The sequence below is a fragment of the Homo sapiens genome, chromosome 1 (genome assembly GCF_000001405.40).
Source record: "Homo sapiens chromosome 1, GRCh38.p14 Primary Assembly".
Classification (NCBI taxonomy): domain Eukaryota; kingdom Metazoa; phylum Chordata; class Mammalia; order Primates; family Hominidae; genus Homo; species Homo sapiens.
The window spans coordinates 364,516-382,664 of NC_000001.11; the positions used below are offsets into that span (position 1 = coordinate 364,516).

Genomic DNA, 18,149 nt, shown 5'->3' on the forward strand with positions numbered 1-18,149 from the left:
AGGCCTAGGCCCAAATCCACACCTGCTGTTTAGCCCAGAGCCAAGCCTAGGAGTGTAGGGTCCCCTATGCATGGGTGTCCAACCCCATCCCTGTCCGGAATAGCACGGGTGCTTCTCGGTGCCACAAATGTTGGTGGCGGCTGGGGAGGAGTGGTTCCTCCAAGGCTCCATGCCTGCCTCCACCACTGAGGCCAGCACGGTGGGACTGGGCTAGGGAGACAGGCAGGCTGGCCTACCCACTGAAGGAGCCAGTCTGCTTCCACCTAGTCAGCAGCTCCAGGGAGCGCATCTCCCTCCAGGAAGGGCAGGAGGCCAAGAGGAGCTGGAAAGGTGGGCATTTGATATCATGAGGTATAAAGAGAGCTCCTAGGGGTCCCAGACATCAACTAATAAAAGCACCTCAGAAGTTCATAGATGGGGAAATAGCTGTGTGAATATACCGTGTTATCCAAGTCATGCGGAGAGGAAGGGCTCGAACCCATGGCTACTACTCCCCACCCCCGTCCTCCTCCTCCTCTTTCCATTAAGTTTTTGTGATTATGAAAGTAGCTTACATTTGGTGTAGAAAATATGGAACATATGGAAAAATTTAAAAAGACTCAGGCAAAGGGTCATGTGTCACTTATGACCAGAGGCCGTTGCTCTTTATTAACAGATGGAAACGTTTTCTTCCAAATTGTGCTGCACGTTTTTGGCGAGAGCATGGGGCTGTGCGGCGTCCCCTCCCTGGCGCCCACCTGTGCCCTGCACACTGGCCTGCACTGTGGTGATCTCGCTTGGCCCCCACCTGATTCCCGACATACAGCAGAGGAACCTTAGGCTCAGGTGGAACAGCCTCAACTGATTCTGTCCCTGAACTTCCGTACACAGCCCTGGAGTCGTCTTAGAGCCATGATTTATTTAACTGTTCTTTCATTTTACAGAACATAAAATGTATTGTTTCCAACTTTTTTCCTATGGTAAATAATACTAAAGTAAATATCTCTGTGCATGAATCTTTTTGTATATGTTGGAATATCCTTAAGATAAGGCCCCAGAACTAAAAGTACCCTGTCAAAAGGTGAGCATTTCCGGTTCCCCTGCTGTGCTTTGCTGCGTTGTTCTCTCCTGCTGCAACGTTCTCACTCCACAATCCTGGGGCAGGGAGGGGAGGCCCAGCTGAGTTTGGATCATAATCCTGAAAGACACAATCCCAAGCACCATAATGTGGAATGTTGAAATCCCTAAAGATCAAAATCCCTCAAGTCTAAAATCCCTGATATTTCAGATGACCACAGCTACAGGGCTAGGTGCACACAATTAGTAACCGTAGCGATATACGTGTACACGTTTCTCTTTTGACTTATTTCTTTATGGTCTGTCTTCTTATAACTGCTACACCCATGCCGCCGTCGTTAGTTACCTCAGTGTTTATGCAAAAATACCTGTTATCATTGCCTATTTTATTGTGTAAAGTGGCCTATGAAATGTTCTGTTGTGTTTTTATGTTTCTCAAATACATACCTTTTAAAAATGTAAATAAATAACATCGACATTATTTTTTCCAGATTTATACTTTTGGGATTTTGATCTTTGGGATTTCAGGATGAGGTATTCGGAGCTGTGTCTTTGGGGATGATGACTGGCTCCTGTGCCGTCCCACCCATCTTTGCGGCATGGGACCTTGGCATCCCCACCTCGGCCCTGGCTCTACCTGACCTCACAATGGACCAGGCCAACTCAGTCAATGTGGAGGCAGCATCAGGTAGACCTGGGGCTGAAACTCAACACTGGTGTTCACCTTGACCTAGCTTCTCTGAGCCTCAAGTTCCTCATCTGGACACCAGTGGGGTTAGGGGCTGAGGCACATCAGCACTAAGCAGGAGAGCTCATCGTTGCCATGCATCAGCTGTGGCTCTAGAGCCGAGACGCTCCCAGCCGTGTAGGCTTCCCAGCAGTGCAGGCCCCTCTCTAGAGCTGAGATGCTCCCGGCAGTGCAGGCCCCTCTCTAGAGCCGAGACGCTCCCAGCCGTGTAGGCCCCTCTAGAGCCAAGACGCTGCAGGGTTAATCAGGGCTGCCCAACAGTCCATCCCCTCTTCTCTCTCTGAAATCAAGAAACATTCCAAATTCCAAAATGCAACTGGTCCCAAGTGTTTCAGTTAAGGGACTGTGGCCCTGTGTAATGCCAGGCAGTGACAAGGACTGTGACTGGGAGCCATCGTAAGTCGATGCTGAATGCCAAAGGGAGGAAAGGAGGCAGCGGTCCTTAAAGGGCCCACTGAGCTCAGATCCCACGCCTGAGCCTCCGCCTCTCCGTGCAGTCCCGGAGATGGCACACAGCCTTCTGCACGAACCGCAATGAGCTGGGCTCCCTCATCACCGCTAGGAGCACTCTGAGAAAGCAGGGCCCTTCCACGGGGTTCTGCAGGAGAACGGCGAAGGGTGCTGTTCAACCTGCTCAGTCAGTTGCTAGGTGAGGAGAATTTAGTATTCATAAGTGAAAATTTCTAAGTTACTGGAATTAATTATGGGGTTTGATTCTACATCATCCAGAAAAGCCTGGATGCCACACAGACTCAATGCTGAAAGCTCCCAGTGCACCTGCACAAACACACCCACACATGCACCCATATCATATACACACGTGCAAACATGTTCACATTCACACTCACTCCTACATACTCGGATCATATACACATTTGTGCACACGTGTTCATATTCACACTCCTACACACCCAGATCATACACACATACACACACTTGTGCATACACATTCATGCTCACTCCCACACACCCAGATCATATACACACTCGTGCACACATGCTCACATTCACAATCACTCATACCCAGATCATACACACACTTATGCACACATTCACACTCACTCATACATACACAGATCATATACATACTTGTGCATACGTGTTCGTATTCACACTCCTACACACCCAGATCATACACACATACACACACTTGTGCATACACATTCATGCTCACTCCTACACACCCAGATCATATATACACTCGTGCACACATGTTCACATTCATGCTCACTCATACACACCGATTGTACACTCGTGCACACATTCACACTCATACACACCCAAATCATATATTCATGCACACATGTTCACATTCATGCACACATGTTCACATTCATGCTCACTCATACACACCCAGATCATATATACACTCGTGCACACATTCACACTCATACACACCCAAATCATACTCACATTCATGCACACATGTTCACTCATGCTCACTCATACACACCCAGATCATATATACACTCGTGCACACATGTTCACATTCACTCATACACAGCCCAAAATATACACATTAATGCACACAATACATATTCATACTTGCACACACCCAAATCATATACCCACTCACACACACATGTTCACATTCACACTCATACACACTCAGATCATAAATACATATGTACACATTCACATTCATACCCCCAAATCATACGCACACTAGTGTATACATGTACACACTCACACACACAAATCATACACACTCATACACACAGTCATACACACTCACACATACCCCCAAATCATATACACACTCATGCACACCGTCACACATATAATCCAAACACACAAAAATATATGCATGCGCTCATTCATACACAATCTCACACATACATATACAGCCATGTGGGATTTTTCTGCCATTTTCAGAAATGTAAATTTTGTAGTTCCTGCTTTTTAAAGACTATAAATTATTTTTAATTTACCTTCATTCTCAATTTTGTTTGTTATAAGTAGCTTGATTGTCATACAGCATCCAACGACGCATATTTCCTTTATTTTTTTTGAGATGGAGTCTTGCTCTGTCACCCAGGCTGGAGTGCAGGGGCGCGATCTCGGCTCACTGCAACCTCTGCCTCCCGGGTTCAAGTGATTCTCCTGCCTCAGCCTCCCGAGTAGCTGGGATTACAGATGCCCATCACCACGCCCAGCTAATTTTTGTATTCTTAGTAGAGACGGGGTTTCACCATGTTGGCTAGGCTGGTCTTGAACTCCTGACCTCATGATCCACCTGCCTCGGCCTCCCAAAGTGCTGGGATTACAGGTGCGAGCCACCGTGCTCTGCATATTTTCATGTTAAAAATGTTTTATTTAAAAAAAAAAAAAAGATGTCCAGAAGAGTTGCAAAGACAGTACTGCAACTTCCCACAGACCCGTTCACCAGCTTCCTCTCACTTGAGCATCTTACACAGCAATGATGCACGTGTGGAAACTGCGACACTCACACGGGTGCCATCTCAGCAGCTCACGGTGTGGAAACTGCGACACTCACACGGGTGCCATCTCAGCAGCTCACGGTGTGGAAACTGCGACACTCACGTGGGTGCCATCTCAGCAGCTCACGGTGTGGAAACTGCGACACTCACACGGGTGCCATCTCAGCAGCTCACGGTGTGGAAACTGCGACACTCACGTGGGTGCCATCTCAGCAGCTCACGGTGTAGAAACTGCGACACTCCCATGGGTGCCATCTCAGCAGCTCACGGTGTGGAAACTGCGACACTCACACGGGTGCCATCTCAGCAGCTCACGGTGTGGAAACTGCGACACTCACACGGGTGCCATCTCAGCAGCTCACGGTGTAGAAACTGCGACACTCCCATGGGTGCCATCTCAGCAGCTCACGGTGTGGAAACTGCGACACTCACACGGGTGCCATCTCAGCAGCTCACGGTGTGGAAACTGCGACACTCACACGGGTGCCATCTCAGCAGCTCACGGTGTGGAAACTGCGACACTCACGCGGGTGCCATCTCAGCAGCTCACGGTGTGGAAACTGCGACACTCACGCGGGTGCCATCTCAGCAGCTCACGGTGTGGAAACTGCGACACTCCCATGGGTGCCATCTCAGCAGCTCACGGTGTGGAAACTGCGACACTCACACGGGTGCCATCTCAGCAGCTCACGGTGTGGAAACTGCGACACTCACACGGGTGCCATCTCAGCAGCTCACGGTGTGGAAACTGCGACACTCACGCGGGTGCCATCTCAGCAGCTCACGGTGTGGAAACTGCGACACTCACGCGGGTGCCATCTCAGCAGCTCACGGTGTGGAAACTGCGACACTCACGCGGGTGCCATCTCAGCAGCTCACGGTGTGGAAACTGCGACACTCACGCGGGTGCCATCTCAGCAGCTCACGGTGTGGAAACTGCGACACTCACGCGGGTGCCATCTCAGCAGCTCACGGTGTGGAAACTGCGACACTCACGCGGGTGCCATCTCAGCAGCTCACGGTGTGGAAACTGCGACACTCACGCGGGTGCCGTCTCAGCAGCTCACGGTGTGGAAACTGCGACACTCACGCGGGTGCCGTCTCAGCAGCTCACGGTGTGGAAACTGCGACACTCACGCGGGTGCCGTCTCAGCAGCTCACGGTGTGGAAACTGCGACACTCACGCGGGTGCCGTCTCAGCAGCTCACGGTGTGGAAACTGCGACACTCACGCGGGTGCCGTCTCAGCAGCTCACGGTGTGGAAACTGCGACACTCACGCGGGTGCCGTCTCAGCAGCTCACGTCCAGGACCCCAGGCTGCACTGGCCCTCACGCCTCCTTAGTCCCCTGCACCTGTGACCCTTTCCTGGCCTGTCTTCGTTTCACTGCCTTGACAGCTTTGCAGAGTGCTGCTCAGGTATTCTGCAAGATGCCCCTCAATTGGTGTGTGTGTGATGTTCTCTCTGATTACACTGGAACTGTGCGTTTGCGTAAGAACACGGCAGAGGTGGAGCGCTCTTCTCATCACGTGCTCTCAGGGGCCACGATGTCAACATGCCTCATCACTGGTGGTCTGGACCTTGATCACACGGCCAAGGTGAGGCCTGCCAGGTCTCCCCACGGGAGAGTGACTGTTTTCCTCTCCATGTCCTGCTGGTTAAGAGTGAGTCATGAAGTCCAGCATGAGCTCCAACTCCCACAGGAAGGAGCATCAAAGAATTTGGGCACCATGGTAATTACTGAACATTTAGGGGAGACACTTTGACAGTATACAAATATCTTCTTTCTCCTTAAACTTTGCACAGGAATTTTAGCATTCCTCAGGGGAGCTTGCCTGCAGCACTGATGGTGATTTTCTTTTTTTTCTTTTCTTTTCTTTCTTTCTTTCTTTTTTTTGAGACAGAGTTTTGCTCTTATTGCCCAGGCTGGAGTGCAGTGGCACAATCTCAGCTCACTGCAACCTCCCGGGTTCAAGCGATTCTCCTGCCTCAGCCTCCCAAGTAGCTGAGATTACAGGCATGTGTCACCAGGCCCAGCTAATTTTGTATTTTTTTGTAGAGACAGGGTTTCACAATGTTGGCTAGGCTGGTCTCGAACTCCTGACCTCAGGAGATCCACCTGCCTCAGCCTCCCGAAGTGTTGAGATTACAGGCACGAGCCACTGTGCCCAGCCTGATGGTGATTTTCCCTATTTACTCCACATTTCTTGTTTGGAATTTGTTCCAAGAAAGGCCTGTCCCTTTCAGTTTTTTGTTTTGTTTTGTTTTGTTTTGTTTTTGAGACAGAGTCTTGCTCTGTCACCCCAGCTGGAGTGCATTGGCGTGATCTTGGCTCACTGCAAGCTCCACCTCCCGGGCTCACACCATTCTCCTGCCTCAGCCTCCCGAGTAGCTGGGACTACAGGCGCTCGCCACCTCGCCCGGCTACCCTTTCAGTTTTAATTTATTCAATAATTTATTTATATGCTTACAAATCCATGGACATTCATTTTATTCTTTGGGGCATAATCCGATTTGTGTGTGTGTGTGTGTGTATGTCTGTGTGAGTGTGTGTGCACTCAAATCATTGTAGCTGTGGCCACTGGGAGCTCTTACATTTTGGGTTCCATGCCCTTTTGAAATGCCCACAGCTTTTTAAAAATTTTATTTTTGAGCATTTTCTTACTTCCTGGGACTACAAGATGCTCCAGGTTCATCTTGTATTTTCTCTCCCACATCCCAATTATCAGCCATTTCTCCAGGGAGACTTGGCTCCTTTTATTGAAGATGAAATTTAGAAACTAACATCTGGGCATGGAATGTGCTTGCTGCTACTGGGGTGTCCCCTCTCAAAGGACAAACCCAGGATCTACAGATGTGTGTGCTAAGCCATGTATGCACACGCACGTGTGTGTGTATATATTTAACCTATCTGTATATATGTATTATGTAAACATGAGTTCCTGCTGGCATATCTGACTATAACTGACCACCTCAGGGTCCATTCTGATCTGTATATATGTATCATGTAAACACGACTTCCTACTGGCATATCTGACTGTAACCGACCACCTCAGGGTCCATTCTGATCTGTATATATGTATCATGTAAACATGATTTCCTACTGGCATATCTGACTATAACTGACCACCTCAGGGTTCATTCCGATCTGTATATAAGTATCATGTAAACACGAGTTCCTGCTGGCATATCTGACTGTAACCGACCACCTCAGGGTCCATTCTGATCTGTATATATGTATCATGTAAACACGAGTTCCTGCTGGCATATCTGACTATAACCGACCACCTCAGGGTCCATTCTGATCTGTATATATGTATCATGTAAACATGAGTTCCTACTGGCATATCTGACTATAACTGACCACCTCAGGGTCCATTCTGATCTGTATGTATGTATCATGTAAACACGAGTTCCTACTGGCATATCTGACTATAACTGACCACCTCAGGGTCCATTCCGATCTGTATATAAGTATCATGTAAACACGAGTTCCTGCTGGCATATCTGACTGTAACCGACCACCTCAGGGTCCATTCTGATCTGTATATATGTATCATGTAAACACGAGTTCCTGCTGGCATATCTGACTATAACTGACCACCTCAGGGTCCATTCTGATCTGTATATATGTATAATATATATTATATATGGACCTCAGGGTCCATTCTGATCTGCATATATGTATAATATATATTATATATGGACCTCAGGGTCCATTCTGATCTGTATATATGTATCATGTAAACATGAGTTCCTGCTGGCATATCTGTCTATAACCGACCACCTTAGGGTCCATTCTGATCTGTATATATGTATAATATATATTATATATGGTCCTCAGGGTCCATTCTGATCTGTATATATGTATCATGTAAACATGAGTTCCTGCTGGCATATCTGTCTATAACCGACCACCTTAGGGTCCATTCTGATCTGTATATATGTATAATATATATTATATATGGACCTCAGGGTCCATTCTGATCTGCATATATGTATAATATATATTATATATGGTCCTCAGGGTCCATTCTGATCTGTATATATGTATCATGTAAACATGAGTTCCTGCTGGCATATCTGTCTATAACCGACCACCTTAGGGTCCATTCTGATCTGTATATATGTATAATATATATTATATATGGACCTCAGGGTCCCCGCTGGCTTTTCCATGACTTCCTTATCCAGCTGTGAGAACCCTGACTCTTACTACTGTATTGACTTATTTGTGAAACCTTAGTATATATAAAAGTAGTTTCAAAGTTGCTAACATGTATTGCTGTGGGAAACAATTTTACCAATTGGAGTTTAGTGCTTAGATATGCAGAGTTATTTGATTCTTTCCAGAATCTAATCAAAACACTGTTTTTGGACTTACCCAGGTCAGCTCCTTTCTGCCCACTCTTTCAGCGCAGGCGTGTCCTGCTGTGGAACACACTCTGGGATTCCTGTGTGGGTCTGTACCCGTCCTGTACCCGTCAGGACCCCCGGGCCCTGACTCTTGATGTTGTTCTTGCTCCTCTTGTTGATCTTGTTGTTCCCACAGTGAGGTCCAGTCCTGTGGGGTTTGACAAGCACAGCATCACGTACCCAACTCTGTAGAGCCACACAGAAGACTTTCATCCCTCAAAAATGGCCCCAGTTCGGCCCCTCGGTAGTAAACTCCTCTCCCCTCACTCACCCACTGGCAAATACTGATCTGTTTCTGTCCCGATAATTGTGTCTTTCCATATACACAAAAGTGAAGTCTGAGGGTGAGGCCCATGGCCTTGGGAAGCAGGCATAAGTTGGGGGGGGTGGGCACACAGGGTCACCGCGGAAGAAGATCCATGCTGCCCACACAGCCACATGTGGGACAGGGCAGGACCAGCCCCCCAAGCTGTGAACCTCGCCCGAGGCTATGCCCCACTCTGGAGCAGAACGGCCTCTGCAGAGCTTCCACCATGCACATGGGGAGTGCACAGCCAGGCCAGGAAGGGGAGGGCCCCTGTCTGCAGAGACAGGCCCATCCTGGACAGGAGGGAACAGCATTCCAGGCAGATCCGCCACTGGCTGCTGTTCCCAGAGTGGCTGTGTCCCCTCTGCAGTGTCCATGCCCAGCCGGCCTCCCCTGCCTCCCTCTGCAGCTGTCCACGCCCAGCCAGCCTCCCTGCCTCCCTCTGCAGCTGTCGCTCTCCACCCTCCTCTCCTTTCTTCTCTCCATCCCCCCTCCATCCCCGTCTCCTTTCTCCTCTCCATCCCCCTCTCCATCCCCCTCTCCATCTCCCTCTCCTTTCTCCTCTCTAGCCCCCTCTCCTTTCTCCTCTCTATCCCCCTCTCCTTTCTCCCTCTCCATCCCCCTCTCCTTTCTCCTCTCCATCCCCCTCTCCTTTCTCCCTCTCCATCCCCCTCTCCTTTCTTCATGGCTCTTTCCCTTTCCTGCCACAACTGAACTGAGTGCAGGTGATTTTCGCTGCCTGCTGGCTTTATTCAGCTTCAACTTCTTGACTTTAAAGGTGGATGCAGGAAATGTGTGTCTTGTGTCACACATGGAAATGTTGCTGAAATAAGTTACTCTTCACTGATGTGGCCTCGAGGGTTTTCTGCTGGGTTTCTGGACCTTGTAAGCAAAGCAGACCCTCACCCGACTGACCTCCTGGCTGTGACGATGTGTGTTTCTATCCCACACAGGGAGGGTGTTTATGGTCTGAAGTGAGGCCTCTCATTAACTCCTCAAGAGTCGATTGAAGCACAATTTATTAGAGCCCAGAAATCATGGCAATCCATTCCCACAAGCACACAGCACAGCTAAACCAGCTCCAAGGAGGGTCCGAGTGTCCACAACTGCACCCCAGGCCCATTGTGCCTGCCGCTGGAGAGTGTGGGGCCCCTTGGCCCCTAAAGGTTTGCTGAGAAGTCACTGACATGAGACAGATGGATTAATAGGAGAAACGGTATGCAAATTTATGTGATGTGTACATATAAGAACCTTTAGAACGAAGACCCAACGATGGGGGAAATTGTCCATTTTTATGTTTAGGTTTAATAACGTATGAACAGTCCTCTAAAAAAAGGATTGGACACAAAGGGCTTGATCTAATGTGAATAGACTGAGTGGGAACCCAGCAAGGTCTGTCTAGATTTGTCTTCGTCTCTGAGCATTTTCTTCTCTGGACGTGGGGCAGGGCCCTCTCTGGAATGACAGTCTCATGACCTACAGTCAAACAAGGGATGTTGGATCATTTCTCTCTAGTCAGCTCTTATATAGAAAGGTAGACGGAAAACTGAGTAATATTTTTAGGTTTTCTGACCAGCTTTGGGGAGAAGGGGTTCTGATTTCTGTGACCGGCCTTGGGGAAAAAGAGAGTCTGGTTTCTACAGCGCCTTCGGGGAGAATGAGACTGAGAGACAGGAGGGCAGGAGAAGGTCAGAGACAACTTTTGCTTCTGAGGCTGCTGCTGAGGACTTCATTTTGGGGCGTTGTTTTCTGAGCCCCAACAGAAGGAAGGAAGCCTCTCCCTCCAGGGGTCAGTCCTGGGCCTCAAGGGCACCCTCGAAGCAGGCAGCTCAGCTCACAGAGCTCCCCTCGGCCATGTCCTCCACCTGCCCTTCCTTGGTCCAGCACCTCACCTGCACACACCTGTCTGGAGAGTCCCCAAGGTTGGAGAGCTGCTGAGTCAGCTGGGCCGAGCACACAGCGCAACACTTCCTTGTGCCTCCTAACCAGGATGGGCGACACCAGCCCATTTTATGGATGGGACAAGAAGAAGCTGGGCTGACAAGCCCAACATAGTGGAGCCAGCAACAGGCTTTTACTCTCCTCTCTGTCTCTTTGTCTCTCTCCCCCACCGCACCTCCATCCGCTCCATTCTCCTCTCTGCACATCAGCTTCCCAGACAATATTCTTGGTTTCTGTGGCTCCCAAACTGAAGCTTCCCCACAGTGGCTGCAACTATCCAGACCTGGGGCCACACTTGGGCCTCCAGGCAGGGGATCTAGTGATCACATTCTGGTCATGTCATCAGGCCAACTTGGCTGAGCTCTGCCCTCCTTATCTCTCTTCTCCCCTCGAGCCCTCACCCTGGTTACCTGCACAAGTAAACTTGCCCCTAACTGACCCCCTTTTCTCCCTCCATGTCCCTCAATACAACACTAACTCTGGCAAAAAAGACCAGCCTGGCCAGGTGCGGTGGCTCACGCCTGTAATCCCAGCACTTTGGGAGGCCGAGGCGGGCAGATCACAAGGTCAGGACATCAAGACCATCCTGGCTAACACGGTGAAACCCCGTCTCTACTAAAAATACAAAAAATTAGCCAGGCATGGTGGCAGGCACCTGTAGTCCCAGCTACGCGCGAGGCTGAGGCAGGAGAATGGCGTGAACCCGGGAGGCGGTGCTTGCAGTGAGCCGAGATCGCGCCACTGCACTCCAGCCTGGGCGACAGCGAGACTCCGTCTCAAAAAAAAAAAAAAAAAAGACCAGCCTGAAGCAGAGATTGGGTCCCAGCCTGGCTCTGCCTGGCCCTCTGCTCCCGCTTCACCTCACAGACAGAACGCTGCCCTGTGGAGGGGTCCCCGGACCCTTTGGTGGGTGCCAAGCGGGTATGGAGGCCAAGGCCTGAGTGGTGAGAATAGTCCAGGGGCTAGCGCTGCGTGGGGAGGGCGAGCTCAGAGAGCAGGGGAGCCTGACCCTGCAGGTCAAGACTTCTGTCTGAGAGAAATGAAAAGCTGGGGATTTTAAGCAAAGGAATGCCTTGACCCAACCCTCACAACTTACATAATAATTAACTTAAAAGGAATCATAAGTTTAAACAGAAAATCTATATAAGAGGTTTACAGTTTAATTTAAAAACTATAATAGGTTTATAGTTTTTAAATTAAAATTTTAAATATAGTGGTTTATAAAACTTTGAGAAGAAAACATAAAATCCCTATGAATGCTGCAAAAGTCACTGTTGAGAGAATGAAAACACAAGACATAGAGTTGGAGAAAATATTTGTGAATCTCATATCTGGCAAAGGAATTGTATCTAGAATACATAAAGAACTCTCAAAATCCAACAGTAAAAACACCAAATAATCCAGTTACAAACCGGGGAAGGACTTGAACAGATGCGTCACCAAGCAAGGGATATGGATGGGAAATAAGCTTCCATCAGCCACCAGGGAGATGCAAATTACAGCCACTAGGAAACGCTTTTCATTCATTCCGGGATGGCTGAAATGTAAGCACGGAAAATGCTGGGTGCCCGCAAGAACGCGGAGCAGCAGGCACTCATTCCCGATTAGCGGGAGCGCAAAGCGAAGGGGCGGCCTGTGGTGTTTTCCTGTAAAGTTGGGCACACGCTTCCCACATGACTCAGCAATTGCACTTCTGGGTATGTACCCGAGAGAAACAAAAGCTTATGTTCACACAAAAACCTACAACGCAAATGCACAAACAGCTCTATCCAACAACCATCCCACCCTGGAAGCAACCCAAACACGCTTCAGCGGCACAGGCGCCTCCACGCGGAACCCCACGCGGCGCTCAGCACGGACGAGGAGGGAGCCGCGCACGCGCGGTCGGCTCGGCGAGGAGCCGGTCTCCAGGTGCCGCCAGCTGCGGGATTTCCTCTGCAAAAGACAAACCACAGGGAGAGCTGCCGGGGCTGGGTCGGGGAGCGTGACTGTGAACGGAGTTCTGGGGGTGATGTAACTGTTCTGTATCCACAGTGTTGCTACATGAATCTATAAATGTGTTAAACTCATAGAACTGTACACCAAAAAATAGCAGTTTTGCTGAATGTTAATTCAGAAATGAAATTAAAATTTTAAATTAACAACAAGCAACTTTACAAGAGGAAAAAAAAAAACCTCATTTCCTCCCCACAAAGCCACCTCATGAGCCTGGGTGGTGCCTAGCCAGTCCTGCTGCTGAACCTGCTCTGACCTGGCCTAAGGGTAGGACTCGAGGCTGGGAGCCAAGGGCCAACCACAGGACAGGCAGCAAGACCCGCTTCGCTGGTCTGTCACACACACCGCACCAAGTCGGTGTTCAGGATAAACCGGGGCACACTCTGAGCTGGGCCTGTCTCCGGCTTCAACCAAAAAGCCTGAGCTCTGGCAGGTGAAGGACCAGACGTTTCTGTGGGGCTATGGACTTGTCTGGGAGGCAGCCACCTCTAAGCCACCCAGGATGGTTTCGGTTGTGTTTGGATGGAGTTCTGAGTTTTGCCAGTTAAAATTCCCCCTTCAGGAGCTCTCTATGGGGTTAAAGTGCAAGATTTGGGGTAGAAAAATGACAAGTCAGAGGACTGGAAGGAACATTATGGACTGTCCTCCCTTCTGCCTGAAGAGATGGGGAGACTCTCCCAGGCCATGTGGAAGACCTCACAGGGGGACCAACAGCTGCCTTTCAGCCTGGCCGAGGGAAGAGCCCCTGACTCAGCCTCCGCAGGAGGAGGTGGGCTGGAACCAAGTTTCCCTGCATCAATCCAGGCAGGCAGCCCCGAACAGTGCACTCCAACATGGGATAGTGAGCCAGCTTGGGGGACAGCAGCTGTCTAAACAGGAGCATGCAACCCCCGTGCTGAGAGTTCCCCAGGGTCACGACTACCCAGAGTCAGAGCTGCCCAGGGTCACAGCTACTCGAGGTCAGAGCTGCCCCAGATCAGGGCTGCCCAAGGTCAGAGCTGTCCTGGGTCAGAGCTGCCCATGGTCAGAGCTGTCCTGGGCATCAGAGGCGCAGAGGTGGGAAGGGCTGGCTTCAGGTGGGAGTTATAGGTGGGAGTTATGCTACAAAGGGTCTTGAAGGCCAGTGTTGTTGACAGGGTAGGGTGCCTGGGTAATAGCAGAGGAAGAAAAAGGCTTAGAGTTGGAGGGAAAAACATGAACTGGAGTTGGGGGAGTGCACCTGCCCCCTCAGAGACCACAAAGCCTCCCCAGGGCTGGGCTGTGGCTGCTGGAGCTCCCAGACCATGCCAAGTGTCAGAGCCTGGGCAAGACCCTCTGGGGCAGCCCGGAACCACCAGAGGTCAGAGCTGGAGGAGGCTCAGCTGGGGCCCTTGCACCAGGCAGGAGGCCCAGAAAAGAGACAGTGCTCTTGAACTGCAGGAAGGCAGCTCCGTAGAGAGGCAAATCTCACTCCAGCTCGGGCAATACTCAACTACACGGACGTGGATGCTCTCAAGGGGGCTTTGGGGCATGTGGTGTCGGCATTGGACCCAAATATGGGCTCAAAGCTTTCCTTTACCATATTCTTTCTACATTTTTCTTGCAGATTGAGAAGGGATAGGGAGGAGTTTAGGGAAGTGAGTGAAGCAGGAAGATGTTGACCAAGGGAAGTTAATTCCATAAAGAGGAGGATGAGGGGACAGAAAGGCAGGAGGAAGAGGAGGAGGAGAATCTTCGCACAGGGGGTGTCAGCTGATGGGGGCAGCATGGGCGCCCATGGAGCCCTTTAGGGGTCGTTGGTTGTGTGCAGAGAGGCCACAGCAGGCGAGGCAGGCAGTGTCTACCACCCCCAAGGAGACACCAAGAATCCCTGTCCTTAGGAAGTCCCCTCTTCCTCCTCTTGAGTCTCATCTCGGAAAGAGGGAGCTGTCAGTCAGAGCTCAGGCCAAACACTGGGGCTAATAGGGGTGAGAGCAGGGACCTGTGGGGTCCTCACCGCTGTCCCCTTCTCACCTTTCTGGCTCAGGCCAGGCTCAGCCCCCAGTGGTCTATTGTCTTTCTATCTGTCATCTATCTACCTACCCACCTATCTAACCATGCCATCTATTTCATCTATTTTTATCTATCAACCATCTATCATATATCTACCTACCTACCTTTCCATCTATCATCTAGTTCATCTATTGCTATCTATTATCTAATTTGCCTATCAAGTATCTATCCATCATCTATTTCTATCATCTATCCATCACCTGTTACCTATCACCCATATACCACCTATCCCTATCTATCATCTATCTAGCCAGCAATCCACCCATCATCTACTTCATCTATTTCTACCCGTCTCCCACCCCCTCTCCCCACCCCTCACCAGAGAGTATGCAAGCACGACCACGTCAACAGGCCCTGAAGTCACAGGTTCACACAGCACGTTTTCTGCTCCATCACGTGTATGGGGCAGGGGGCAGCAGAGCTGGGGGAGAAGAGATAAAGGAATTATGTCAAACAGGGACTGTCTTGTCTGCCCCAAGGGTCTTTCCTCATCTATAAAGCAGATTTTTCTTGTAGAGCACCACGAGAGCTGTGAAATGGGAGTGAGGGGTGAGGCAGGCCATGGGGCCTTCCACAAGGTGGGCAAGATGGTTGTCTCTGGGGAACCAGCTGGCCAGAGGGGGCCAAGTGCCAACCGGTCTGGATGAGAGCAAAGCAGCAGGCAGAAGGTTACAGAGGCAAGTGTCGGCACCAGGGGTGAACGCTGGGATTTTTCAAATCCAAGAGACATTTCAAGTAAGGGGAAAACCTCCCCCAGGGCTGGGCTGAGAAGCTAGTCGGGTGATGGGATGAGTGAGAATGACAAGTTGCGTCTGATTGTCCTGGAGACCTGGCTGAGAACTCTGTGTGAGTCTCTTAGGTAGACGGTTACACTTGTTTTCAGTGAGAGTCAGTTTCCATAGAGAACTGCATGGTAGTCACCAAGAACCGAGGGGGCCCAGGAATGCCCCAGCAGTGGTCTGGAAGGGCTTGTGGGGCTGGGCAGGAGGTGGGTGGGGACCGGGTGCAGGCAGAGGGAATTCAAGGGTACAGAGGCAGAGAGATGGTGCCGCCTGGGGAACGCAGCGCACCCAGGACAGAACAGGCCTGAGAGCCACACACACTCACAGCGGCTTCCCAGAGTGTTTGTTTTCTATGCACCAAGATGCTCCCCCAAACCCTCTGCAGCCTGTTCCCTGCCTTGGGGGTCCTGAGGGCCACCCTTCGGGTATGGGGTTCAGGTCGCTATTCCTTTCTCGATGCCCCTGGTGTGTCCATGGGATGAGCTGACTGGCCCACCTAGTGGGAGCCTGTGCACCACGGTTCGTGTGGCCCAGGGGAGGAGGTTTTGCCTTTCCTCGACCCCACTTTATGAAAGGAAAGCCTGAACCCCTGGGCCAGCTAGGGGAGTGAGCTAGGGTGGAGGGCAGTGCTGGTCATGGAGGGCAGTGTCCAGCCCTCTGCTCACCAGCTCCAAGAGTGATTCTGGAAACGGAGCCCAGTCCCTGGGCCCAAACCTTTGCCTCTGCCCTTCTTTCTCTCTACAAATTAGAGGCCACATCCCTGGCCACTGAAGCCTTGTACCCTGACCCACTGTCTGAACCTGATGGAGTCTAAATGCAGTGAGCGGGTGCCAGCCTTCCCTGGAGCTCTGCAGAGGCAAGGAGGGGGTGGATGGAAAGACGGGAGTCCCTCCCCTTAGGTGAGGGGGGGAACTAGGGCCCGGGGAGATGCCCAGGCCTGGCGGCCGGCGCACGCGGGTTCTCTGTGGCCAGCAGGCGGCGCTGCAGGAGAGGAGATGCCCAGGCCAGGCGGCCGGCGCACGTGGGTTCTCTGTGGCCAGCAGGCGGCGCTGCAGGAGAGGAGATGCCCAGGCCAGGCGGCCGGCGCACGCGGGTTCTCTGTGGCCAGCAGGCGGCGCTGCAGGAGAGGAGATGCCCAGGCCTGGCGGCCGGCACACGCGGGTTCTCTGTGGCCAGCAGGCGGCGCTGCAGGAGAGGAGATGCCCAGGCCAGGCGGCCGGCGCACGCGGGTTCTCTGTGGCCAGCAGGCGGCGCTGCAGGAGAGGAGATGCCCAGGCCAGGCGGCCGGCGCACGCGGGTTCTCTGTGGCCAGCAGGCGGCGCTGCAGGAGAGGAGATGCCCAGGCCTGGCGGCCGGCGCACGCGGGTTCTCTGTGGCCAGCAGGCGGCGCTGCAGGAGAGGAGATGCCCAGGCCTGGCGGCCGGCGCACGTGGGTTCTCTGTGGCCAGCAGACGGCGCTGCAGGAGAGCTCAGGAGCAGGGGCCTGGGCCTGCTCCGGGGGAATCCGCCCACCCCACCGCGGCGGCCTCTCCTGAGGTTCCCTAGTGGCCGCGAAGGGTGGGCTCAGGGTGAAGGGTCAGGCCACACCAGTGGGTGCGGGGATGGCTGCGGCCACGGGAGGGCGTCCAGGGAGGAGGCCGGAGCTCAGGCCCACTCTGCACACCCAGCCCGCCACCTCCCCCGGCTCTCTCTTCCTTCGTGCACATTCTGGGGCTCATGCTTCTGCTGTGGTCCCATTTAGCCAACCTGGCCAGCCTTTCATGCCTGCTTCATGGGTGAGACGTGGAGGCCAGGTCAGCCGCAGAGCCCGGGGCACACGCCGCAGCCAGCACAGCAGCAGGTGGGCGTCTGCGGCCGGGGCCAGCGCAGGGCCCACTGGGCCTCGGAGGGGCCTCCCTGCCGACTCTGCCCCCGTCCTGTGGCCGTAAGTCCACCCAGAGCGCTCGATCTTCCGTCCACCAGGCCAGGGATGCACGCAGAGTAAGGATGTGTGTGTCTAGGCATGTGGGGGTGTGGGTGTGACGGGGTGTGTGCTGTGTGAGAACGTGTGTGTAGTGTTCACATGTCCTCTGTGCGTGAGTCCCTGTGTGTGATGTTGTGTTCTCGGTGTGAGTTCATGAGTGTGACGGGGCGTGTGCTGTGTGAGAACGTGTGTGTAGTGTCCACATGTCCTCTGTGCGTGAGTCCCTGTGTGTGATGTTGTGTTCTTGGTGTGAGTTCATGGGTGTGACGGGGTGTGCTGTGTGAGAACGTGTGTGTAGTGTTCACATGTCCTCTGTGCGTGAGTCCCTGTGTGTGATGTTGTGTTCTCGGTGTGAGTTCATGGGTGTGACGGGGCGTGTGCTGTGTGAGAACATGTGTGTAGTGTTCATATGTTCTCAGTGTGAGTTCATGTGTGTGACGGGGTGTGCTGTGTGAGAACCCGTGTGCAGT

At 51.9% G+C, this 18,149-nt stretch overlaps 1 protein-coding gene across 1 annotated transcript; it reads right to left on the bottom strand.

The window, feature by feature from the left end:
• Positions 1 to 618: 618 nt before the first annotated feature.
• LOC112268260 (uncharacterized) lies at positions 619 to 17,720 on the bottom strand. The gene is made up of 5 exons (XM_047436352.1): positions 17,535 to 17,720; positions 16,382 to 17,173; positions 15,254 to 15,355; positions 8,629 to 8,808; positions 619 to 1,177 (listed from the first exon to the last, which is right to left on the bottom strand). Exons 1-5 carry the CDS (start codon positions 17,718 to 17,720, stop codon positions 1,040 to 1,042), a joined length of 1,398 nt encoding a protein of 465 aa, XP_047292308.1. The 3' UTR covers positions 619 to 1,039.
• Positions 17,721 to 18,149: the final 429 nt, after the last annotated feature.

Bases quoted from the DNA above. Each gene is read 5' to 3' on its own strand.
- LOC112268260 (XM_047436352.1), bottom strand. From the start codon at position 17,720: ATGCCTAGACACACACATCCTTACTCTGCGTGCATCCCTGGCCTGGTG. The intron at 15,356-16,381 runs GTGAGCAGAGGG...CTTCTCCCCCAG, and splicing joins CAGAATCACTCTTGGAGCTG to CTCTGCTGCCCCCTGCCCCA. The intron at 8,809-15,253 runs GTGAGGGGTGGG...CAAACCCCACAG, and splicing joins TCGTGCTTGCATACTCTCTG to GACTGGACCTCACTGTGGGA.